Source organism: Homo sapiens, chromosome 6 (genome assembly GCF_000001405.40).
Source record: "Homo sapiens chromosome 6, GRCh38.p14 Primary Assembly".
Lineage (NCBI taxonomy): Eukaryota > Metazoa > Chordata > Mammalia > Primates > Hominidae > Homo > Homo sapiens.
In genome coordinates this window covers 14,081,418-14,107,379 of record NC_000006.12, presented here as the reverse complement: position 1 = coordinate 14,107,379, position 25,962 = coordinate 14,081,418, and the positions used below count along the sequence as shown (strand labels likewise).

The following is a 25,962-nucleotide window of genomic DNA, read 5'->3' as shown; positions in this document are numbered from 1 at the left end:
TTTATTACAGAGAAAGAATACAGATTAAAACCAGCTAAGGAAGAGAAGCCTAGGGCAGAGTCCAAGAGAGGTCCAATGTGGAGGTTCCAGGCATCCTCTTTTCATGGAGTCATGGACAGTGGTACCTCCTCCCAGCCATGATGTGTGACAATATGCATGGAATATTGCCAAGCAGGGATGCTCACCTGAGCCTCAGTGGCCAGAGTTTTTATTGCAGCTCAATCACTACTGCCCATGTGGCTGACATGATTCTCTAGTTCCTCCAAAGGCAGAGCTAACATCACCTCCACCAAATGCCTCCATTGCAAATCATATTTTTAGACTGTCAAGTGGCCAATGCCCCTAGACAAACAAAGACATTTCTATCAGTCTTGATATTCCAGGAGCCTAGGGGTTACCTCCTAGTAGTGAACGGCAAAGGTCAGACCTCTCTCTGGGTAGAGTTAATTCTTTACTCACACATGCCTTATAAATTTGCTGTGCCCTTGAGCTGTGGGTGGGAATAACTCCCCCACCTCTTGACCTTGGGTTTGTCTCATGAGTGGTGCAAGATCAGAGGTAACCAGGTCCATGCACATTTGTGTCTTTTCACATTGACAGACTTTTACTGATGCTATTTCAATCACAAAAGCCACTAGCTACATCAGGTCCCCAAGGAGGCAATTCTCGTTAGCACTTCCTGTTCACTGGGCAGTCAGAGTCACAGGCACAGAGGCTGAAGCCACTCCACAAGTCACTCTATATTGCAAATTATACATAATAGTACACCTAATCAATATATAAATGTTATGGGTTAAACATCTACAACAAACAAAATAACATTTAACATCAAGAGAAAAGAAATGGGAAAAAATGGTTAATGAACCAGTCCATGAAGAGCAACAGAGACAAAAAGAATCTCCTGGTCTGGGCCAGGCAGTCCAGTGGTCTTGCAAGGAACACCTTTGATGTGGGTAGAGCCTTTCGTGGCAGATGCCAGAGCCTTTCATGGCAGATGCCAAGGAGCTTATCTTGAGTGACAGCAAGACAGTGTTGATTAAGACAGCTGTTTCAGCCGGGTGTGGTGGCTCACACCTGTAATCCCAGCACTTTGGGAGGCTGAGGCGGGTGGATCACCAGAGGTCAGGAGTTCGGGACCAGCCTGGCCAACATGGTGAAACCCCATCTCTACTAAAAATACAAAAATTAGCTGGACGTGGTGGCACGCGCTTTTAATCCCAGCTACTCAGGACGCTGAGGCAGGAGAATTGTTTGAACCCATGGGGCAGAGGTTGCAGTGAGCTGAGATCGCACCACTATACTCCAGCCTGGGCAATAAGAGCAAAACTCCATCTCAAAACAAAACAAAACAAACAAACAAAAAACCACTGTTTCAAGCGCTGAAGTCCTCCTCCTGCCCTTTTTATGGCTGCAGTGTCCTCTGGTGAAGAATGATAGTGGAAGATTGTGCTTATTTATGTCCTTATCTGGTTGGTTGCAGTCTTTACTTATTAATTTATTTATTAAGCAAAATATCTTGTCCCTATTGGCAAGTGCCCTATGAAATGTAAGATGGAGTTTTTTTCTAAGATGGAGTCACTTATGTCAAGGGTGCTTCATACAGTTTGTAGTGTGACTTCTTGCCCATGGAATGAAGCAGAAATCAAGGTGTATTAATTCCACTTTCTCTCCTTCATCTCTACCATCATCATGAGAAGAACATGTCCAGGCTAGCCCATTTGTGCCAGGAAGAATATGAGAAACATATGGTGCAAAGTCAACCCATCCCCAATCTGAACCCAGCCTAGAGCCAGCCTTCATCTCGTGGGCTGACTATCTGAACTCCATAAATGCCTTCTGCTATATGCTGCTGAGATTTTGTGATTGGTTTTTAAGCAGCATTATCATGGGTATAATTAACTGATAAAGATATCAAACCCTTAAGGACCATTTATATTTTTCCATAAGTTTGCTGATCCTATTAGAGCTCCTTTGGCTGTCAAAAACAGGGTAGCTTGAGAAAATGGGCACAAGTTGACGAAGTTTGGATGAAAGCAGGTGATGAGGGAGGAGGCTTGCAAGATCTAAAGCAGTGATTGCAAATCCAGTTACCTACAGGGCCAGAAGGGTTATGTGAGGGAACAAAGAAAGCCAGTTACCTGACAATAAATGTGAACCATGTGAGAAGAAAAGCAACAGAGAGTAGTGAGGACTATGGCAAACTGGACAGTAATCACCCAACTAAGAGAAGCCACCACTTAGCTCCCACCAATTGTTGCTAATGGGAAAATGTCAACCAACGTCAAATCTTTCAAGTTTTTTTTTCAGAGGATTGGATATAGATATTATATGAAATCTCTTAAATGCTGCAAATGGTTGATTTTTGTTCAAAACACTTTTGCAAGACAAACCAAACACACCTATGGCTGTCTGTATGCAACCTCTCATTTATGTCATGATATACAACATCTGGTGGCAGCAGGCTTGTCTGGGACCTTAAGGAGAGGACGCTTGATGGCCAGGGTCAGCATGAGGTGACCAGTTCCTTGTGCGTGGCTGGGTGATGGGTTTTAGCTCAGAGAGGAAAAATCACACAAAGAGGAGAGCAGGCATAACAAGGGGATACCAAAGACAAACTTCTTCACCGTTATTTGGCCCGTGGCTGTTCCTATCACAGCTTAATGGGGCCACTTGAGGGTTCTGAAATGATTTGTTAACAGTTTTCAATGGTGGGGGTGTAACACCCGTAATAATCCGGCAAGGATCAAAGTAATTTACATGTATACCTCTCTGTAGGGTGCTGCAGAATGTTTCAGGAATTCAAGCAACATCAGCGGCAGCACATGAGTAGCCTCTGCCTGGGGCTCAGGAGCAAGGTGGGAGGTGCTAACATAGCCCTCCATACGCTCACCCCTCACTAGGCATTGCCCCAAACACTGACCCTCAACTGTGTTTGCAGAATTTTGCTCTTTGAAACAGAAAAGCGAGAGGTGGGCTTCTTTTCTGTTTGTGACTAAAAGCTATGGACATCAGCACCTAGTTTTTTCTCTAAGGTGGACATCAGCTGTGGACACAGTAGAGCTGTCAGTAAGTCCTACGACTGCCTTTCAGGGTGTTTATTCCCCAGTCACTGGTCCTGATATGGGCTGTCTGCTCTACAGGTGCAAGAATTATTCCTGAGACAAGTCACTTGTAAGCTGATATTTGTTTAGCACCAGGTTGTTGCTTGCTCTTCCTCACTTCCTTGCTGTCTTGTAGCCCTGGGGATGCTGCAGACATGATGGTTCTGAGGAAGGCCAGGGAAGGTCTCCCCCACGTGCACAGACCTGAGCGCAGCTGCCGGCAGGAACAGCAGAAATGACAGAGCGTTTATCTCTACCTGCAATGGGAGCAAGCCCACTTCATATGAAAAAGCACCTAAGCTTGCCTAAGGGTTTTATTTTTAAGAATGTATATCAACAATGCCACTGAAAGCACATTCTACTGGTACCAGTAAGACAAAAGAAACAAACATCCACTGAGTGATACTAACCAGACATACACATCACACCATTTAATCCTTATGATGATTCTGACAGGTGATATTAAAACGTCCACTAGTACACATGAGGAAATTGATGCCCAGATATGTCTGACCCAAGAGACTACTGTTAGATATGGTAGGCATATGTCTTGAACATTCCAGATTTTGAATACTGTGTTCCACAATTACACCTTCTCCCTTTGTGGGATGTCACTATGTCATGAGGCCAGTGAGGAGCCCCCTATCCCCATCCTCTTTTAATACCCTACAGAATTTTTATAGGACATTCTATAAATGCCCTCTAGGTACCACAGGTCAGCATCAAGCCAAAAGGGAAGAGCGAGTTCAACTTTGTCTCTGGTCACTTCCATGATAGGGAAGAAAACAAGTGAAAGCTCCTTGACAACGGTATTTTCAGTAACTTACATGAGAAGATTATGATGTCGCAAAGGTAAAGGCAGCCTTTCTCATGTCTCATGGCCAGCCGAATAGACCTTCCCTGAAGATTCAAACATGATAGCACAGTCAACTCTCTACCATTCCAAAGGCAGGCTTGTGTGGGTACATGAGTCCAGAAAGTAGATCTGTACAAGGAGGCCAGCCTGCCAGGAAAGAGAGGGGTCAGATGTCTGGTAGCAAAAGCCAAGATCTCATCGGGCTCTGAGTGTGGCCATTTGGTCCAAGCAGGAATGGGGCAGGCAGTGAGGGTGTGAGGAGGGCCCAGGAAGGTGGGAGACCAGCATCAAGGATGTGAGAGTGTGTGCCAGGGGCTAAGACTGGGCACAGGAAAGTCAGGCTGGGGAGCAAGGTCTGACTCCTGACCCTGAGGACTCGGGGCAACTAGGCCAGAGTCAGGCAGGACCAAGACCACCCAGCTGAGCCAGAGGACTTCCCACGGGGTCTCTGCCTGGGTCAGACTCAGTCCCCAAGACCTCAAGCTGATTTCGATAGCCTTTATTTATCAAAGGACTGGTATTTAAATAAAATACTTTATTTATCCATTGACTGTTGGTGTTTGGGTTCAAAACATGTTATCTAAGTGATAAGGCTCCTTTATCCCCCCCATGACCTCAGGTTACTGAGCAATCGGAGGGTCCTGGGCTGCTGCCTGTGTCTGGATGAGAAGAGCTGCAACTCCAGATTTGTGCATTTGAGGACATGCCTATATGAGAGTGGGTATATATGTGGTTGTGAACATATGGATATGTGTGTGTGTCTCTCTTTCTCCGCGTGTTTGTGTATGCGTGTTTCCTCAAGATCTGAGGCATCTCTTGCAGATGGGGATTCAGGGCTGGTAATCCCCAAGCATCACTTCTCTCTCTGTGAGCAGAGGAACTTGGAGGAATGGGTGAATGTCTCCAGCCTCAGCTCTGTCACCACTACCCTCTTCTCTATTGTCTAGACCCTGTCCATCAACCTTGGAACCCAGTCCTGAGAGTAAGAGCTGGTGGTGGGACATTGCCTCTCCTTCACAAGGACCTCCTGAGACATGGCATGGAAACAGAGGTGGCCTTTCTCACCTGTTCTCCTCTCCTTCCTGTGTGAGCTGGGTCAGGGGATCCCAAGTCCAGGGTGCACTTTTTTTCTACCCCAAAAAGACAGATGTCAACTTCCAAATTATTATTATACAGCTATGACTAAAAAAATGAATCTAGCCAAGTGCAGTGGCTCACGCCTGTAATCCCAGCACTTTGGGAGGCTGAGGCAGGAGGATCATCTGAGGTCAGGAGTTCGAGACCAGCCTGGTCAACATGGCAAAATCCCGTCTCCACTAAAAATACAAAAAGAAAAATATTAGCTGGGCATGGTGGCACATGACTGTAATCCCAGCTACTTGGGAGGCTGAGGCAGGAGAATTGCTTGAACCCGGGAGGCAGAGGTTGCAGTGAGCCAAGACCGTGCCATTGCACTTCAGATTGGGCAACAAGAGTGAAACTGTCTCAAAAAAAAAAAAAAGAATCTGAACTTTATTTCTAACATCTTAACTAGTCATAGACCATCACCTTTAATTCTTAGTAAATACCCAGCTCTTACATCCCATACACACCATTTGTCACCTCATACATGGACCTCATCCTAAGTCCATTAATTATTTCTGCTCCCTGAAAGACTGATTTCCTTAACAGTATCTATTTTCCCTTCAGAAAGACTGGGGACCCTTCCTTCCTTGGGTCCCCAGGTAAGATCAACTTCAGTGGCATAGCCAAAGCAACACTGGAGTCACCGATTAAACAGGGCTGGTTAGGAAAGTGTTGCCTTCCGAGGGTGCCCAGGTTAAGTTCACCTGGCAGGGACACTTATAGTCTTCAGAATCTGGCTTCAAATGTTTTGGGATTCTCAAGAAGTCTGCATGGGAAAGGAAGCTTGAAGCAGGAGGGTGTTTTTCAACTCTTGGGAGCTCTTGGAGAAAAGAGCTGAGGCTTTAATTTGGGACCCAGGGCAGGCTGCTCAGGTAGGCAGGGATCCCTGTGGTTTGATCCAGGTTTTGTCTATTTGACTCTTTCAGGGTCTAGGCTCTGAGTTCCATTATGACACTGAATGTACTATTCATTCTTCTGGTCTACACTGCAGAGGAATCCCAGTCATGTCAGCCCCTCATAAAGGGCTGTCTATGATCTCTGCCTCTGGGTTTTAAGAAATGGTAAGCTCTACAGACAAATCTCTTAGACAATCCTCTTAGACTCAGACTTCACAATTAAATCCAACCCTGGAAGGTTACCAGGGAAATAGACTGAAACGGGGTGTGGGGAGATATCTGGGAGTAACAGACTAGGACTTCCTGGTGCTGCAATTCTGCACGTCCTTGAAGAACGATTGATTCAGATGCCACTGGCTACCCGCTCTCATCTACATGATGATGATGCTACGGCAGTCATCTCTAGCCTCCCAGCCACTGCCCCTGTTCATCAAGAGTTCAGGATCTGGCTCACTGTCTCTCTGCCACCCCCACTGTCATCACAACTACAAAGACAACCCACCCTACATTCTGGCCCTTCTGTTTCTTATCTCCTTGTTGACATCTTTTCTTCTATCCCACTTTATCCACCCACTCCCAAGATCATTTCCTAGATCAATATCCAGGGTCATTGCTTCCCCTTGCATAGACTCCAGCATTTCTTGGGATCTCTGATCCATTGGCACTATCATCTTTTTCACATCTGTCCCTCTTACCCAGCTTGGATCCAGGGCCCATCATTCTGCTCCCTTGCATCCATGTCCTTCCACACTTAACCCCTTGTCCCATCTGTCATACTTGTGAGGCTAACACCCCAAGTCTGCTTACACTTACCTCCTTGCCTAGTCAGCTCCCAAACCTAAGCCATGTACAAGGCTGGTGGAAAACACATAACTGTGCCTACTTCTTCCTTTATATGTATGGCCATAAAATTCAAGTGGGCCCCAGCACCATCTGGGTAGTTCCTCAGTCAACTCACTCCGCAATCCCCCTGCGCAAGATGACTATTTCTCATCTTCTTTCCTCTCCCTACTCAGCTGTTGACCTTGGTTTTTATTTCACCAGAAAACAAAATCAGAAGAGAATTCTTCTCATCAACAAATCTACCAACTTCCTGAATCTGTGTTATCTGGCTCCTTTCCAAGACCTCTCCACTTGTGCCTACTGAAGGACTTTGCAACCATCTCCTCTCTCTCTTGACCCAACTCGCTACTTGCTTATACTCATCAGCCTACATATATTCTACAATAACTCCTATGTTTAAAAAAATTCTATCTGGGCCAAATGCAGTGCCTGTAATCCCAGCACTTTGGGAGGCTGAGGGGGGCAGAACACTTGAGCCCAGGAGTTTGAGACCAGCCTGGGCAACATAGTGAGACCCCACCTCTACAAAAAAAATCAGCCAGGCATGGTGGTGCATGCCTGTAGTCCCACCAACTCTGGGGACTGAGGTGGGCAAATCACTTGAGCCCAGGAGGTTGAGGCTGCAGTAAACTGAGATCCCACCATTGCATTCCAGCCTGGATGACAGAGTGAGACCCTGTCTCAAAAAAAAAAAATTATATCTGAACAAGGAGTGGTTCTACATTATATTAGTACACACTGTGAAGCCCCTATAATGAAAATAGTGTGGTACTAACTCATAAAAATTCAGAAAGATCAATTAAATAAAATAAAAAGTCAAGAAGTAGACCCAAATGCTTATAGAAATCCAAGTTATGTAAAAGTGCTATGCCCAAATATCCCCAAATCACTGAGGCAAAGATAGTCTTCTTAACACAGGGTACTCAAACAACTGAATAGTCATTTGAAAAAAAAAATAAAATAATATCTATTTCTCACACTATCACAGGAATAATTGCCAAATGAATCAGAGACCTAGATGCAAAATGAAACTATAAAAGTACTAGAATAGAACATGGGTGAACTCCTGTATAACCTGGATAGGAAAAGATTTTTTAATATGACCAAAATCCAGAGGCTACAAAGGAAAGACCGGTAAATATCACCACAAAAAAAAAAGTTTTTTTTTTTAAAAAGGCATAAACATAGTCAAAACACGATGAAAACTGACCAGAAAAATATTTGCAGATGCAGATCATAAGGTTTTAAAATTCTAAAACTTCTAAAAATCCTAAAGAAAAATAGACAAAATACATGAACAGATAATTCATTAAAAGAGAAATAACACCGGTCCTTAAACATACGAAAATGTGTTCAAATTTACTTATACTAGGGCTGGGTACGGTGACCCACGCCTGTAATCCCAGCACTCTGGGAAGCCGAGGGAGGCAGATCACCTGAGGTCAGCAGTTGAAGAACAGCCTGGTCAACATGACGAAACCCCGTCTCTACTTAAAATAAAAAAATTAGCCGGGTGTGATGGCGGGCGCCTGTAATCCCAGCTACTCAAGAGGCTGAGGCAGGAGAATCACTTGAACCCGGGAGGCGGAGGTTGGTTGCAGTCAGCCGAGATTGCACCACTGCACTCCAGCCTGGGAAACAGGGTGAGACTCTGCCTCAAAAAAAAAAAAAAAAAAAAAAAAAAAAAAAAAAAAAAAAAAACTTATAGTAAAATGTAAATTAAATGCACATTTTTAACTCATTGAATTGGCAAAAAAAAAAAAAAAAGTTCAAAAGCTTAACAATACGCACTGTTGGTGAGGCTAAGGAAAAAGGCTCTCTGGTACATTGCAGGTGGGACTGTGATACGGCACAACCCCTGTGGAGATGAACTCAGCAACATCTAACAAAACCACGTATGCATGTACCCTTCCACTCAGCAATTCCACTTCTGTAAATTTGCCCCAAATATATCCCTTCCACTACGTAAAAATACAAATGCCCAAGGTTATTCATTGCAGCAATTTTTTATAATTGCAAAATATTGGAAGCTACCTAAATGCCTAAGTATAGAGTACTTGAATAAAATATGGTACACACATGCAATGAGGTACTAAGCAGATATAAAAAGTATGCGGAAGATCCCTGTGAAATGATATGGAATGATTTCCAGGAGACGCTGTTAAGTGAAAAGGCAAGGTACAAAAGAGTATATAGAGTGGGATATCTTTTGTGAAGAAAGAAGGGAAATAATGAGACTTGAGTATTCTTTTTTTTGGGGGGGAGACGGAGTCTCGCTCTGTCGCCCAGGCTGGAGTGCAGTGGCGCGATCTCGGCTCAATGCAAGTTCCGCCTCCCGGGTTCACACCATTCTCCTGCCTCAGCCTCCCGAGTAGCTGGAACTACAGGCGCCCACCACCATGCCCAGCTAATTTTTTGTTTTTGTATTTTTAGTAGAGACAGGGTTTCACCGTGTTAGCTAGGATGGTCTCGATCTCCTGACCTCGTGATCCACCCATATTGTCTCTACAAAGACAAGCTTCTTGAGCTTCTCTCTACAAAAAGAAACATGGGAAGAAAAATCCAAAAAATCTTGTAGTTGTTTTCCTCTAAGGAGTATGAGGGAATAGGATGGAAAAAGCACGCTTTTCTTTTTAATTCCCTCCCTCCCTCCCTCCCTCCCTCCCTCCCTTCCTTCCTTCCTTCCTTCCTTCCTTCCTTCCTTCCTTCCTTCCTCTCTCTCTCTCTCTCTCTCTCTCTTTCTTTCTTTCTTTCGACAGAGTTTCACTTTTATTGCCCAGACTGGAGTGCAGTGGTAGATCTTGGCTCACTGCAACCTCTGCCTCCCAGGTTCAAGCAATTCTCCTGCCTCAGCCTCCCGAGTAGCCGGGATTACAGGCACTGGCCACCACACCCAGCTAATTTTTGTACTTTTAGTAGAGATGAGGTTTCACCATGTTGGCCAGGCTAGTCTCGAACTCCTGACCTCAGGTGATCTGCCTGCCTCGGCCTCCCAAAGTGCTGGGATTACAGGCATGAGCCACTGGGCCCAGCCTGAGCATGCTTTTCTATATTGTTTTGACTTTTGAAAGCATGTTCACATTCTACCTGGCAAACAATAAAATTAAATCAGTAATGAAGCTTAACACCCAGTACCTATTTGCCATTCTTTGGGCAACCATGCCCTGCTTTTTTGGGGGGAAAGCACGCATCCCACATCCTTTTCCCATGTGTGTTTCATGGGCCCCACCCATATGTGGGGTGGGCATGTGACAGTCCTGTCCATTCGGAGTACCACATTTCTCTGGCCATGGGGCCTGGCCTAGGGGTGGGCGCTTAACACAACTGAGTCAGTGATTTTTCATAGCCTTTAGCTGCCACTGTTAGAGGCCATCTTCCTCTTTTTCCTTGCACTAGCATCTGGGAGGTAGTAGACCTGGAGTAACCAGCAGCCCTCTTGGCATCATGTGGAGCCTTGAAATGAAGCCGAAATGGAAGGAAGAGAGCAATGCTAAGAGGGGAACAGACCAGTTCCTGAAATATTGTTCAAGCCCCTGGATCAAGCCCCTGCCCTTTTTAATGAATTGCATGAACTAATTATTTCAAGTTCTTGCCTATGCCTGCTTGAGTTAGGTTTTCTGTAACATGCATTCAAACCATCTCAATGGATACATTAGTTCAAATCTCTCTATTATTGGTGTGGAATCTGAGTCTCAGTAGAGTGAAAGCACAAGCCCAAAAATCATGCTGGAAGATAATAGCAAGGGCGGCGCTAAGACTCAGAACCTCTGGCTCCAAGTTCAGATTACACAGTCAGTGTGGCAGACGGCCTTCACCTAGGGGACAACTTATGTTCCAGGTGGAAGAGAAAGAGACAGAAAGCAAGCTAAGCCCCCTCGTATGGCCTAATATGTCCCAGACCTCCAGACTCAGGGTTTATGAGAGTTGAACGAAGTTTCTGTTATTACAGGTATCAGCCATCAAGATGTGCACAGAGAAAACTCAGCAACTGGGAAATCAGCTGCATGGTAGCAAGATACACAGACTTGGAGTCAGAAGATGTGGGCCCAGACCCTGATATCCACCCACTCTTGTGGGTGGGCGCCTTCTGAATGTGAAGGGAGGCTAATAATAGTGCTCCTGGGAGTCCAAAGACTGATGCTTTGGAGAGGCCTCTGTAAGCCAGCATCCTCCTCCAGCAGTGCTCAGGCCTGGAAACAATCCACAGGCTGTTTAAATGGCCATCACAGAGGTTTTTTTCAAGGCAGAATTCTGCCTTCTCTTGACAACAAACAAGCAAGACTTGAGAACACCTGGGGAGAACTGTGACCTACATGCCTTTTTGTCCAGGCAGGAGAGGCTGACGCGCCCTCAGTTCTCCTTCACCCACCCCTACCCAGTGCAGCTAGAAACCTGGGGGTGTGTTCCAATGGCCATTTAGGGTCCGACACTGCCATGGGCCTCACACAAGAGAACTCTTGCTCTGCAGCCAGCTGTCTTCCAAAGCAGGGAAGCAAAGGATTCACCCAGAGGGCCATGCGAACTTCCCGCCCTGGCTTCCAAGCTGGTCACCCGCCTCACTCAGCACATGACCGCCTGGTCCAGGGGAGGCCTCTGAATTCACAGGCATAACTGTAAATGCAAATTCCCATGTAAAGCTCATGGATGAAAGGAAGGAAATGAGAATTAGGACTCAAGTTCTGTTGGGTGAAATGTAAAACCTGGGTATCTACTCTGATAAGATTAAAGTGAGTAATTGGCAGGTGGACCAGTGGTGAGCTTCAGGGATCAAGAACACAGGGAAGCAAGTTTAGAGGCCAAAAAGGCAGCCACTGGGTGCTAAGCAGGGGAGAACTAGTGATGTTGACTGCCTATGGCCGGGTGAGGGCCGAGGACGAGCCTCCCAATGCTGGGCACAGGTACAGCTGCTGACGTTGACCACTAGGTACAGGAAACCAGGCAGACCTTTACAAAGGCTGGGCAACATCCTGGTGAGCTCCCATGTGGAACCCACAAGAAGCCACGTTTAGTCTCACAACATTTATGGGGAAATTCCCCTGAATTGACGTTTAAGCTTTAATAGAGGAAATCAACATTCTCAGTAAATCTGGTAAAAGGTCTATGGAAACTTTGTTAAATTTCAGCCAGAGACACCCCCAATGGCTGGTCCAGCCAGTGCTGTCCATTATGCAGCTCATTCCATACAAAGTCCTTGTTCTCAAACTTGGCTAAGGCCTCCTATGAGAGAACACCTTCTACACCAGAAGGTATAATTAGATGCCCTATGGTAGCTTTTAGCCCATGTTTTGAAAATCAGCGAGGTGCCTGAGCTGAGGTGGCTGGCGGATGTGCATTGAGGAGATAGGCTGACATGGGGTGTGTTCATTAAGTTATTCAACAAGCATTCATTTACTGGGTATATAGAGTTTCCAAGCCATCATGCTTAACACCGTGGAGCCCAGAGCAATGGATAAAATGGAGCAAGTCCATTTTGCTCCCCATGGAGCATGTCAGAGGCCAGTTGGGGCCAAGTGTGTGTCTGGGAGCAGGAGGGCAATGGCAATCGGGATGCCTGTGAGATTTCCTGCTGTACTTCCTTGGTGGGGCCAGACCAGAGAATGTTGCCTATTGAAAAACATTTCTTTGTAAGGGCTTTGTAAGCAGACATCTCCAGCTGGGAGCAACTGAGGAATTTTTTAATCAGAGCCTTGATCTGCTCTTGCGGCACTGCCTGAGGCTAGCAGTGTCCCTATAACACCAAACTGAATTCTAAAAAGAAAAAAAATCAACTGATTGCTTCCAAATACTGGGATGCTTATGGGGGCATGTGTGTGTGTGTGTGCGTGCGTGTGTGTGTGTGTGCCACCATGCCCGGCAAACTTTTTTTGTATTTTCAGTAGAGACAGGGTTTTGTCACGTGGACCAGGCTGGTCTCAAACTCCTGACCTCAGGTGATCCGCCTGCCTCGGCCTCCCAAAGTGCTGGGATTACAGGCGTGAGCCACCGGACTCAGCCAGGGCTCTGTTGTTATCCCCACATCATGCCCTTCAAGTATGCCATGCTGCCGGATGTCAGGAACCAGGCTCCAAGGGGTGGTGTCTTGGCATGACTTAGACAACCAGAGACAACAACCCCAAAACAGACCTCTGGCCTTTCTCTCCTCCTCCATCTGCCTCCTGCCAGAGAAACCAAAAGAAGAACTTACTTATAAAGGCAGTCATGGGTCTTTTCACTTGTGGCACTGTGATGCCTGGCCACTGTGGGGTTTTGGAAAGGGAAGTAGCACTGACATCATAGAAACCTAGAACTGAAAAAGACCTGAAATGTTCATCTTGTCCAGGCACCTCAGTGAGACAAGACACAGCTCCCTCTCCTTGCAGCTCTCCCTGAAGATGCAGAAATAGTACTCTACCTCCTTCAGTTCTTGCTGCCAGGGCTTTATCTCCCAAAGAGGGAAGATTTTTCTCGCAACTTGAGTTCTCATTTAACTCCAGTCTACTGTCTTTTTTTTTTCAGCCAGGAGGGTCCACTAGTCAGCATTAGGCCCCTCACAAACTTGCAAACTCAAAGATAGTGGTGGAAGTGACTATTAGTCTTTTCATTTCAGGCCAGCTAAACACAATTATCTCCACCTACATTCTTCACTTGGTTCCTGTACTGTGCAGGTTTTGTTGTTGTTGTTTTTTTAATCTATACTGTTTGCAATTTTTCCACTATTTTTTTCAAAAATGTGACTGGGGTACATTGAATTTTTGTTTCCCATTCTTCACTCTCTCTCTGTTACAGAATTCTACACCCGTGACCTTTGCCATGTGACTTTGCAGTGGCTCTCACTAGAATGAGTGCAGTGTTTTTCCTCACCCCATGGAAGCTTGGCTCAGCCACAGGCTTTGCCTTGAATAACAGACGCTAGTGGAAATGATGTAAAAGAGGCTTTAAATGTGCTTGCATGATTTGACTTGGCCTGTTGTATTTCCGCCATCACCGTAAGAAGACTATGCCCCAGGTGGTGCCAGTTCCAGAACAAAATATATAAAGCAGGCCCAAAGTAGACCTGGAGCCTGGAGCCATGCCCAGTGGAGCCCAGCCAAGATCAGCTGAGTCCCTGCCAATCCACAGACCTGTGAATAAAAAAATGAATGTTTGTGGCGTCAGCCAGTGAGACTTGGGGCATTATTTGTTATACATTATTGCGGTAGTTGATGACTAATAAAATTGCCAAAATAAGGTCTGATTTAGACTAGAGATGAATTATTACCCTATCCTTGCATCACACACTCCTCAAACCACCTCTTTTGTGACACCTTCCTTGGTTCCTTTAGCTTCTCTACAACTTGTCCACCCTAAATCCTTCTTTTTGGTGTCCTATATTTGGGCCCCTGATCATAGTCAATAAAACGTTTTCTAGAAGTCAGTCTGACATATTACTCAATACTTGCATGTTTGAAACCTTATCAACAAGACTATAAAGTCATTGAGAACAGGGACCATGCGAGTACAGGATGGATAATAAAATACTCTTATTAGGAACATTCTGTACCGTGATCTCTCATCTTTGGCAGAATAAGGCTTCCAGATGTTAGCTGGAAACACATCACCATTGCATTCATGGAATTAGCATAAGGCTATGCACACAGTAGACATAAGACGCATTCGAATATTTATGGAGTGTCCATTGGAGAAGCAAAAGTAACTGAGTTGTCAATCAAATAAATATTTCTGATCTATTAATACTCAATGTCATATGCCTTATCTTTTTTGATAAAGATAATATTCAAATTCTCAATTCCATAGATATTGAATATAAGCATTTCTCTTTCCCAGCCAAAATACATCAATAGAAATAAGTGAGAGATAGTGAAGCCACCTATTTAAAAGGCCTGTGAATCGCTTCTCAGCCTTTGGCGAAGATTAAGTTTAAAAGGACTATGAAGCAAAACCTTGTGTAAAGCTAATGTTTACTTCCTATTTTACAGTGCTCTGTTTCATTTTTATTAATAAAATACACTTTTGTGTATGACAGCTGATCATATTTGATTTTCATATTCTCTATTTAAGACCAGAGAATATTCTTCAGAACCACATTTTTTTTCCCACAGTTTAGTTTCAAATGTAGTATAGTTCCTCTTTTTATAAAACAAGTCAGGAAGGTTTGTTTTATATTAAAGCATTCAATGAAAGGGTGTTTTTTTTTTTTTAAATACAAATCTACTTTTCATATACTGGAACTTTCCAGATGACTGGTCAGATTACTACAATCGCATGTTATATTGATCTGGAGTTCAAAAAAACACCAAAAGAACAATGGGATAAGCCTGCTTTCCTTCCAAGTATGGGCATAGCTATCAAAGCACCACAACTGATTTTGCAATATTCCAGAAATTATACGTCAAAGTGAATCTTGTTCCTTCAAATCAGCCACCTTATTCATTTATTCCAAAGAATTGCCAGTGGTCAAAACTGTGCTGAAAATCTTTTTATGATTTCCTTCAAAGCCATTTAAAAAAATATATTATTAAAGGCAGCAACTCTTTGTCCTTTGGGAATGAATACGATTTTGGAAACAGAAAAAGTCATTTGGGAACAAATTTAGTGAAAAGAGCAATCAAACTGGGTGATATAAGGAAGAAATTCAGATTTGTCCATCATCTCACAGCCCAGAGATAACCACCATGAATATCTTGGCATATTTTATGCTAGTAAGTCTCTATGTATATATTTTAACATAAATAGGATGATGTCACGTGTGCAGATTTGCATCTCCCCTTTTTCTCCCCAGTCAATATTCCCATTATTCCTATTTTACAAGGATCAGACAAGCTAAGTAACAAGCAAACAGTCATACTTCAGAAAGTGTTCTAACTTCCAACTTCTTTCAAAATGCATTGAGGCTGAAAAAAGGAGAACAGTTATACCAAAAAAAAAAAAAAGCCTGATTTTCTATTCCCTATTCCTTGGTGATAATAGCAAGAATAGTACTTAGTTATAACACCACAATGCATGACACATGAGAGAGAAACCAAGAGTGAGAGAAAAGAAAATTATGTGGTTCCAACAGAAAATAAAGAGAATGAGATGCCTTGCCCAAGTCAATCATTTATGTAGACAACGTGTGTGTGCGCCTGCATGTGTGTGTGTGTGAACACACCTTTTATTACAAGTCACAAAAGTTTATTACCCAGTCAATGCTCGGCTATGGAGTAACATCTCTTGAAATTGAAGAAGCACTACTTAAGGCAGGACCAGAGATGATGGAATGGGTGTTTGACATGTATCAGATCTTTTCAGAAACTGAGAGGGGTCGTACTGTTTATACATGCTTTCTAGGCACACAGAAACCTAAGTCTGTTTCCCAAACTCCAAGGCTGCACAGTCAGTGAGTTCAGCGTAGCCTCTCACCACTGTGTTGGACCTCTGTGGATCCAGTTTTGGGAGCGGGGTGGGTGTGGATTTTGTCTCAAACTCTCTCTATCTGGAATGTGTTCTGTAGTCTTAAAAACAAGAGCTGAATATGCTCAATCTCCACTTTGCCCCCCAAACTGAGGCCATCTCCCCAACACCCAACAGAAGATCCTGTTAGAAATTCTCGATTTGGTCCCACACAAGTTACTGCAATCTTCCTACTAGGGTTGAGATGCCAGAAGATCCCTGTTAGGGACTGAAAGTTTGTGTCTCTCCCCTTGCCACCAAATTCATGTATCAATATGTATTAGGAGGTGGGGCCTTTGGGAAGCGATTAGGTCATGAAGGGGAAGCCCTCATGAATGAGATCAATACCCTTCTAAAAGAGGCCAGAGAGCACACTCTTGCTGCTTCTACCATGTGAGGACATAGTGAGAGGATGCCATCTATAAACCTGGAAGAAGGTCCTCACCGGGTACTGAATTTGCCAGCACCTTGATCTTGGACTTCCCAGCCTCCAGAACTGTGAGCAACGATGTCATTTATAAGCCACCCAGTCTCTAGTATTTCTGTTATAGCAGCTCGAACTAAAACTATCCCTATTTTGCCCTTTTCTGCTTAAAACTTGCTTTTTTTGTAGAGCCAGTTTAGCCTAGAGGAGAAAGTTTCAGCTTTTGAATCCTACAAATTCTCCTTTTTCCACTTCTTCACTAAGTCAAGGTTGGAGAGTGACTTCATCTGCCTCAAAATGAACTTTCTCACCTGCGATAAATATGAAGGTATCAGGACATAAAATTATCTCATAAACCACACATTTGGGAACACTCCATAAAGCCAAATCACCCCAGTTGAACCCAGAAACAGTTCCACGGATTGAGAGAAGAGACTGATAAGAATCAAGAGAGTTAATCATTGCAATATGGTTCCAGAAAAAGCGCTGCCTCCTGCTCCTCTCCACCCCATCTTGGGCCAAGCCAACTGAGAAAAGGATGACTGATAGGAACCCCAATAGCTTTAAAGACCCAAGAACATGTGTGAAACCTTCGAAGACCATAAGACCTCAAAGTCCCTTGAGCCCAGCATGGTGGGAAGCAATAGAGCAGAAATTGCTAGGTGGCATAGCAAGGCAGAAAGGGACTGGGCCAACACAGCCAGATATTGTCCCTGCTCCCCAGAAGGGCAAAGGAGTGACGAAGAGAGCCAGATCCACAGGGCCTCATCAGGATGAGGTGGGGGCAGCGGTAGTACTACACACATGGATGACTGGAGGCCAGGCAGGAGAGAGGACGCACAGGACCACGCCGGCACCGACAGGTGATAACCACGCCACGCCCCGCCCCACCACCTCCACCCTTGCGGGGAAAAAGATTAGATTTCTGGGCTGGGCGCGGTGGCTCACGCCTGTAATCCCAGCACTTTGGGAGGCCGAGGCGGGCGGATCACGAGGTCAAGAGACTGAGACCATCCTGGCTAACACGGTGAAACCCCGTCCCTACTAAAAATACAAAAAATTAGCCGGGCGTGGTGGCGGGCGCCTGTAGTTCCAGCTACTCGGAAGGCTGAGGCAGGAGAATGGTGTGATCCCAGGAGGCGGAGCTTGCAGTGAGCCGAGACCGAGCCACTGCACTCTAGCCTGGGTGACAGAGCGGGACTCCGTCTCAAAAAAAAAAAAAAAAAATTAGATTTCTGAAACGCTTTGGAATGAGAGCACTAAACAGAAACTGAAATAGAAATTAAGTTTAGTCATAGAAAGTTACATTTGTTGCAGTCCAATATGGGTACTCATTACATGAATATATGTAAAGTAACTGTGCACGTGGCAGTTGCACAATAAATTCCAAGCATTATTATGATGACTATTGACCAGTTATATTTCTGTCCACCTTCTCTTTCCAGAGAAGTTGAGGCAACCTTGAGTGCTGAAATAAGGGCAGAGCATCCCTAGCATAATAAATGTTGGAGAACTATTTTATGTTTCTTTATATGAGTGATTGAGGGATCACTGTACTCCACCTTCTCCCATCTATTGTAGATTATATTATTCTTCAGTCAGTCTTCATGTTCCTGGTCCACCCTCCTGAATGGAGTACATCTCCCCATCCCTTGACCTTGGGCTGGGCCATAGGATGTGCGTTGACTGAAGAATGGGGTGTGGCACAATGGTGGCATGCCAGCACAAAGAGAGACTCAGAGGCATTATGTCTTTTCGCTTCCTGTCTGGCACTCCTGCTACTCTCCATAAGAAAAGGATGCCCCAGGCGGCCACTGCTTCTTCAGCCTGGGTCTCAGAATGAAAAACACACAAAGCAGACTTGAATCTGACCTGAAGCTTACAACCAAACCCCATCAAGTCTAGAGGAAGCCAAAAAGTTTAGGTGAGACACAGCTGAGGCGCAGCTGACCTACAGTCCCAGGACTGAGAAATGATTCATTTTCATAAATCATTAAAATTTGGGGTTGTTACTGCAACAAAATTTGCCTAATATACCACCAGCTAAAAGTGCCTTCAGCACATTGAAGTAAAGAAAGAGAAGAAAAGGAAGATGGATTGGGAAAACAAGGACAAGAAAGCTTTAAGAGATGAAGGGAAATTACCTTTTCAGGAAGTTTTGGTCTGGCAGTGGTCCTAAAGATGGAATAGCAGCATTGCTAATAAAGAAGAAAGTGGGAGAGTAAACAGAGAGTTCTAGAGATGCTTGTGAACCTTGGAGACCCTGAAGGTTAAGATGGGTTCAGGAAAACATGGTTTCTTAACTCAGACTTGCTACTTCTCCCTTAATTCTCAGCATTATATAACACTCTCTCAGTTTTAAGGAGTTTAATTCCCTTCTGAGCATTAAGCTTGGTAAATAAACTTTTATGATTTGCAATGAATTCTACATTGCTATCTCCCCTATTTCTACTTAAAATGCAGCAGGATGTGTGTTTGATATTGATTTGGGTTTGCAATTTAAATTGTTCTTGTGTAGGTATTTGTCAAAGAACTGATGTTTTCTCCATGTGTCATTTGAGATGGGTTAAGTATGCTCAGGAGGGGACAGCTGATATAGAGGTCTCTCCCTGAGCAGTCGGGTTAGTTATAAATTGCTCCGTGGTTTTTCCTAACCTTGTAATGGCTGAAGTAAAACTTAGCAGCTGAATAGTTAGCCCATTTATTTAATTTGATTTTGATTTTCCATTAAGCTCTAGTGATTTATTTAAATAGATTCTGAAATACCAAATTGAAATGTGAAGTATTTGGCATAAAGGAGGATTAAGAACCAAAATATAAATGGAATAAAATCCATTTTGCAAACCTCTAGACCTGTCCAATAAATTGCTTGGGAGACCTGCGTGGAATTACTTCTTCAGTGGCTGTGAGCATCAATATTACATTTGTGTTTCCTAAAACATAGGCTTCAAGTAACAGTTTCTTTTTTGGGGCTGTGCTTCAAAACCTCACAATTAAAGTTCTGAAGCCCACCGGGCTCGGTGGCTCACGCCTGTAATCCCAGCACTTTGGGAGGCTGAGGCGGGTGGATCACCTGAGGTCGGGAGTTTGAGACCAGCCTGACCAACATAGAGAAACTCTGTCTCTACTAAAAATACAAAATTAGTCAGGGGTGGTGGCATATGCCTACAATCCCAGCTACTCAGGAGGCTGAAGCAGGAGAACCGCTTGAATCCAGGAGGCAGAGGCTGCGGCGAGCCAAGATCGTGCCACTGCACTCCAGCCTGGGCAACAAGAGGGAAACTGTCTCAAAAAAAAAAAAAAAGAAAGAAAAGTTCTGAAGCCCATTGAGATGTGAATCCCAAGATCTCCACTAGAAACTTCTGGAATCTGTAATCCTGTGACACCAAATCTACCTTAAGGAGGATTTCCATCTCATCGTTACCCCAGAAGCAAGATGGTTCATTCAGTTAGTTATTCACAAACTTTAATTCGAAACTCATTAAGGTACACATTTAATCATTCTATCAAAGCCCTGATTCCAAGGCTGGTATTTAATGCAGACAATAAGTGAGCAGCATTATTCATGACCAGCTGAAAAGCAAACACAAAGATATCTGCATCCACTGGGCTTTTCCTGATCTGAAACTCCTTTCAAAAATCACTGAATAAAGGAATAGACCTGGATTTCTTTTTATCCATCCTGTGGTTTTCACACATTTGTACATTTCCATGGGCTTCAGTTCTCTCATTGCAAAATGGGGGATTTGGATCTCTTAATCCTTAAGTTACTTTTAGCTCTAAATTTATAACTCAGTATTTCTAGTTCCCTTATTCCTCGCCATCACTGATAAAATAGTCACCAGCAAAGAGAGAATGAGTCATACACTTCAGGCAAGGAAGTGTCTCAAACCAAAAGGACTTAGAATTGGAGTTTACCTGATAAATTGTCTTGAAAATAGCCAAACTCAAAATGGCAAAGCCAGAGCCCACTGCTATGGGATCATGTCTGAGGCAGTGGAGAGGTCTAAAGTCAGCACATTTAATGAAAGCAGTGACTCAAAGTTACCCTTGAAAAATCATGTAGGCAGGCACCCTATTGGAGACCAATCTGTGATCTCTCCAAAACTTGCCACCGGGCCCATTCTTCCAGCCAGCACTGGGACAGATCACTCTTTCTTTGGCTAAGAGCAGTTGGCTGGCATTTCATATGAAAAATGCATATCTCCAAACACTAAAATTGCCCTCAAAGAAGCAACGTGCTTACACTGAGAGGCTGGTGATCTGAAATCAGGTGAGAAAAGTGAAAACCCCTATCTCCCATTCAAACCCACTTGGGACATTATTTTCATATATATACGTATATATATATACGTATATATATACATATATATATACGTATATATATACATATATATATATTTGAAATCATTTTCTCTCTCTCTTTCTCTCTCTCTCTCTTTGGAACTAAAGCTGGCCCATAGTAAGCCTTCAATCACTGATAACAACCAACACTTTTCCTCTGAGCGGAATGGCCCTCTTTTGGTTGACAGATTTACTGTATGTTTCCTTTGTGCCATGCACCTTGCCTGATGTTGGCAGTGTGGTGGTGAAAAGATACAGGTCCTGACTTTCAGAGTCTTATAGGATCAGTAGAGAGAGGAGCAAATACTAACACATAGGAAGTGTATGACAAGATTAAGCTCAAGCGTGCGTTGGAGGTGCCCAAACCAAGCTCAGCCAGGGCCAAGGAAGCTTATGGGAGAAGTGAGGGCTCCCCTGAGACTGGGAGAGTGAGTTTGTGTGGGGAAAAAAAGTAGCCCAGCAAAAGGACCAGAACATGAAAAGGTTCAGAGGTAGACAGTGACTATTTAGAAACTGGGACCAGTTTACTGTGGCCAATGCAGGCAAAATGTGCAAGAGGAGAAAGGGAGAGAGGTGAAGCAGAAGGAAGAGGCCTTTCACACCAAAAGCAGTGAGTTTAGATTTGTCCTGAAGCAAATAGGCAATGGTACAGTCATATTTCCTTCTCCCAAAGCTCTCTAGCTATAGAGGGGAAACAGGATTAGAGATAAAACCAAAGGCTGCCACACAGGTATGCAAGGTGTGCACTGCACAATAGCGCCTGACCCAGATGGTGAGTAAGGTGGGAACAGCGCGTGCTGTGCTTGCCAAGCTGGGTGCTCTGGGGAGGAAGAAGCCTGTAGGGGCCAGCAGCTGTAGATCCTCAGAAAGAGCTGAAGGTTAATTTGCAAAAATCACATGAGAAATGAAAGTGACTGGAACTATGGAGACAGCAAGAAGTGGATGGATTGCATATACTAAAAAGACACAAACAATAGAATGTAGTGGTTGATTGGCTGTGGGCGATGAGAAAGAGGAAGGGGTCAAGTGTTAGACCCACACTCTGGTTTGTGCGACCAAGTGGATGATGATGTGGTATAGGGCTTAAAATTCACAAATGTGCTGCCTTGACATCTGGTTAAATTGAGAGGGCCTTAAATGGCCTGACTGCAAAATCCCCTCATTGTTCTCCTGAGGGTAAGATCCCCAAGCCAAACAGCCTTCCTTTTCAAGGGGAACAGATGCATTTCTGCTTATCTGTGAGTAGTGGGCTTCAGTTCCCTGCCAGTCCATGGAGTTATTCAAACAAGCCAGTCACATCCTCCCGGGGGAACCAGGGACACTCCATCTTCTTGCTGCTACAAAGCCTGCCTTCGTCCATAGCCTCTGGTTGTTCACTCTGCTTGGAGCGCAACCTCCCTGTGGCCCTGTGTGGCACACAGTGTCCTCCTCGTCCATGCTGTGAGTGTATGGAACTAACACACTGCTGCGGGTCTCATCTGCCCAGTGTGCGTGTTTGGCCACCCCTGTAATCCTAGGGCGGGAATCTCTCCTTCAGCAATGGGGTGAAGAAGAGGTGGTTAAAACAAATAAAATTGTCTATCAAAGAACACAAAGGGAGGAGCAGGTGCTGCAGGGGAGAGTGTTAACAATTTCCATTTGGACAGGACGACCCCTTCCCACCTCCTTTGTCTCATTCATCTGGTGAAATCCAAGGGCTCCCAACTCAGAGCCGCTTCCTCAGCAAACCCAGTTCATGAGATTCTCTTTGTTCAAACCCCACGCATGCCACTGTTAGAGAGCTTGGGCCGCAGGCAGATGCAGTAGCTCACGCCTGTAATCCCCGCATTTTGGGAGGCCGAGGTGGGCAAATCACCTGCGGTCAGGAGTTCAAGACCATCCTGACCAACATGGAGAAACCCTGTCTCAACTAAAAATACAAAATTAGACGGGTGTGGTGGTGCATGCCTGTAATCCCAGCTACTTGGGAGGCTGAGGCCGGAGAATCGCTTGAACCCAGGAGGCAGAGGTTGCGGTGAGCCAAGATCGTGCCATTGCACTCCAGCCTGGGCAATAAGAGCAAAACTCCATCTCAAAAAATATATATTTTATATATTTTTATATATACATATATATGTGTATATATATGTGTGTGTGTATATATATATATATAGAGAGAGAGAGAGAGAGAGAGAGAGTGAGAGAGAGAGCTTGGACCACTACATGATGGTAGGGGATGATTTCTCCTCTTCTCAGTGGAAATCCTCCCAGGCAGGAGCTTCAAGGATTTTAGGAACAGGGATGCACAGGAATCATGGGTATTGTGTGCAGAAGATAAGATGAGATGAGTTGCTCGGTCTCATTGTCAGGAAACCAAGACAAGGATATGGGCTCCGAATGAATGAGGAGACACACATGTTCTGTACTGAGCTGAAGGCCAAGCCAAGATGTGCTGTGCTGGCTGTGCTGGCTGAACTGAGAGAGAAATTGATCCAGCAGCACTGCTTCTGTGTGTCAGTGGAAGCAGAGTGGGCTGGGGGAGAGTGCTGGTGGGGAAAGTGAGCTATTTGAATGGAAAATACGCAATCTGGTATCAAATCACCTTCTAGCTACAGAGGCAGCAGGTTCTGAAATCATTTCAGGGGACACATTCCAGGCACTGCAATGGGACAGTGTGTGGATTTTTTATTTTTTTAACTACTTGCCTGGGATGGAGGTTTTATTTATTTATATATTTACTCTGATATCCAGAAATCTGAAAGAATTGCTGCTGGTGCATAAGTAATAATATAAATAATAATAGCATAAGCATGTATGTCAGGTACCTGACACCAATCGAAGTGATTTTCATGTATTTGCTCATTTTTCCTTACCACATCTCCCTGGGAAGGAAAGTCTATTAAATTCTTCATGTCATCAATACAAAAACTCATGCACAGAGACATCAAGTGACATGACCAAGGTCACACAGCATCCTGGTCCTAGAACCCACACATTTAAACACTCTGCTGTCATCTTCAGAGCTTGGAGCCATGTTCTATTTATCTCAGCATCTCTAGTGTCTGTGTCAGAGGAAGTGTTCAGTATCCTTTTATCGAATGAATGAACGAATGAGTGGAACCTCATTTGCTAAGGCATCCACACCCTCTGGGTGGCCTTTAGTCAGCATTACACACAGTTGTAATTTAAGACGGTAGTGACAAGATCTTGACCCTAAAACTTCATGGTGCATCACCTGCACCTCTGCCATTATGTCTAGGGATTTTTGGTTTTGTTTTTATTTGTCCTGGAGGCTTTTTCTTCTTTAGGAACCACCTGTTAAAATGAGGGGAGGGTTTACAGTGTGGCTGAAAGCTGAGGACTGATTCATTCACCCCATCGACCCCACCTTGGCCTAGAGTATTATAAGGCAAATGACACCCCTTGAGGTAAGCATGAATGCAGCAGCTAGGGCCCTCCAGACAGCTCCCTTAAGGACTGCAGCAATGCAGGAAAGGTGAACGTGAGGGAGAAGCAAAGTCTCAGGCTCTTGTTCGCCTCCTCCCAGGGAAGTGTCCATCCAGTATCCACTCTGAAGATCTGGTAATTGTGTCTTTTACTTACAGAAAAAAAAAAAAATATATATATATATAGCATTTCTTAGGATTGGGGGCCCAGACAGGAGAAACGTCAGCTCCAAACTTTTCCCAGAGGTGTCAGTCAGTCAATGTCCATGGCAGAATGGATGCCTCAAGGCCCATGTTCCATTCACCTGCAGCTTCTGTTTGACATCTCTACTCACCGGGGCTGCCCACTCCTTACTCTAACCCGAGTTCACACATGTGCACTGGAATTATTGTCAGTTGCATTGCAAAAAGGATTCACCAAACCCCTCTCTTTCCCACCCAGCCTCGTGATGTGGGATGACACTTTTCAGCTCAGGTTTCCCCCATGTTTCTCTCTTTCACACTCCATTTATTCAAGGCTCCTTAGTGGACAGCATTCCTGCTGCCACTGTCAAAGGACTCATAGTCCCTTGAATGTCCTTGCCGCACTGCCAATGCCTCTCTTAGTGATTTCCCAAGGTGGTTGGAAGATCCCTTTTCAAAGTTCTTGCTAACGACTTAGTAATGATTTTTTTGGCCTTCACAGGATTATAGAACATTCTAATAGCTGTCTACTGTCAGTTCTTAATTTCATTTCCTTTTAGTCTTCGGTCTGATAATCAACAACTGTAATTACCATGTTAACAATATTTGACATTTTTAAAAGCCATTATGTTACTTTAATTAATCCTCACAACAACCTTATGAAGTAGTATTTTTCTCATTTTACCACTGAGAAACAAGGCTTAGAGAAGTTAAATGACTTACCTAAGGTCACATAGCAAGTAGGTTGCAGAATTGGGACTCAGCTGAGACTGTGTCCTCTGTTGGGGCTCAGAAAACAATACTCTATAATGTGGCACTTTGACATACTGAACTAAAGAAGCAGCCTCAGGGTCTCTCTCTGACATATCGCCAACTTCCTGCCTCTCTGATCCTCTTTCCTGAAGCACTCTGTCTAGAATTTTATTTTATTTATCTATTTATATTGTATTTTGAGACAGGATCTCACTCTGTTGCCCAGGTTGGAGTGCAGTAGTGCAATCATGGCTCACTGCAGCCTCAATGTCCTGGACTCAAGTGATCCTCCTACCTCAGCCTCCCGGGTAGCTGGGACTACAAGTAAGCACCAACATGCCGGGCTAAATTTTTTGTTGTTGTTGTTGTAGAAACGAGGTCTCCCTACGTTGCCCAGGCTGGTCTTGAACTCCTGGGCTCAACAGATTCTCCTGCCTTGGGCTCCCAAAGTGCTGGGATTACAGGCATGAGCCACACCACCCAGCCTAGAATTTTCTTATCTGACTAAAAAAACTTTCCAAAAGAAATGCAATTGCCTTAAGAACCCCTACCTAGGAATCTCATCAAATAACCAGGAATGATTAATCACCAGGAAGAGAAAGGA

The 25,962-nt window shown here is 44.4% G+C and overlaps 1 long non-coding RNA gene across 1 annotated transcript, besides 6 other annotated features; it reads right to left on the bottom strand.

Moving 5' to 3' along the window:
• Nucleotides 1-95: 95 nt before the first annotated feature.
• LOC105374939 (uncharacterized) lies at nt 96-8,746 on the bottom strand. Its single transcript, XR_926500.3, has 3 exons — nt 8,613-8,746; nt 3,929-4,104; nt 96-342 (listed from the first exon to the last, which is right to left on the bottom strand). It is a non-coding gene; the product is annotated as an uncharacterized LOC105374939 (long non-coding RNA).
• Nucleotides 11,544-12,044: a transcriptional cis regulatory region, noted in NCBI's record as "chr6:14095567-14096067 region (GRCh37/hg19 assembly coordinates) targeted for CRISPR interference". NCBI's record gives its function as "positively regulates CD83 gene expression in GM12878 lymphoblastoid cells {active_cell/tissue: GM12878}" and the evidence as "EXISTENCE:mutant phenotype evidence [ECO:0000015][PMID:33828297]".
• Nucleotides 11,893-12,022: an enhancer, noted in NCBI's record as "active region_24044". NCBI's record gives its function as "activates an Ori minimal core promoter by ATAC-STARR-seq in GM12878 lymphoblastoid cells {active_cell/tissue: GM12878}" and the evidence as "EXISTENCE:reporter gene assay evidence [ECO:0000049][PMID:35858748]".
• Nucleotides 12,916-13,045: an enhancer, noted in NCBI's record as "active region_24043". NCBI's record gives its function as "activates an Ori minimal core promoter by ATAC-STARR-seq in GM12878 lymphoblastoid cells {active_cell/tissue: GM12878}" and the evidence as "EXISTENCE:reporter gene assay evidence [ECO:0000049][PMID:35858748]".
• Nucleotides 18,151-18,652: an enhancer, noted in NCBI's record as "NANOG hESC enhancer chr6:14088959-14089460 (GRCh37/hg19 assembly coordinates)". NCBI's record gives its function as "activates a minimal SCP1, AML or CMV promoter by ChIP-STARR-seq in naive and primed H9 embryonic stem cells {active_cell/tissue: H9 hESC(naive and primed)}" and the evidence as "EXISTENCE:reporter gene assay evidence [ECO:0000049][PMID:30033119]".
• Nucleotides 18,689-18,738: an enhancer, noted in NCBI's record as "active region_24042". NCBI's record gives its function as "activates an Ori minimal core promoter by ATAC-STARR-seq in GM12878 lymphoblastoid cells {active_cell/tissue: GM12878}" and the evidence as "EXISTENCE:reporter gene assay evidence [ECO:0000049][PMID:35858748]".
• Nucleotides 21,792-21,891: an enhancer, noted in NCBI's record as "active region_24041". NCBI's record gives its function as "activates an Ori minimal core promoter by ATAC-STARR-seq in GM12878 lymphoblastoid cells {active_cell/tissue: GM12878}" and the evidence as "EXISTENCE:reporter gene assay evidence [ECO:0000049][PMID:35858748]".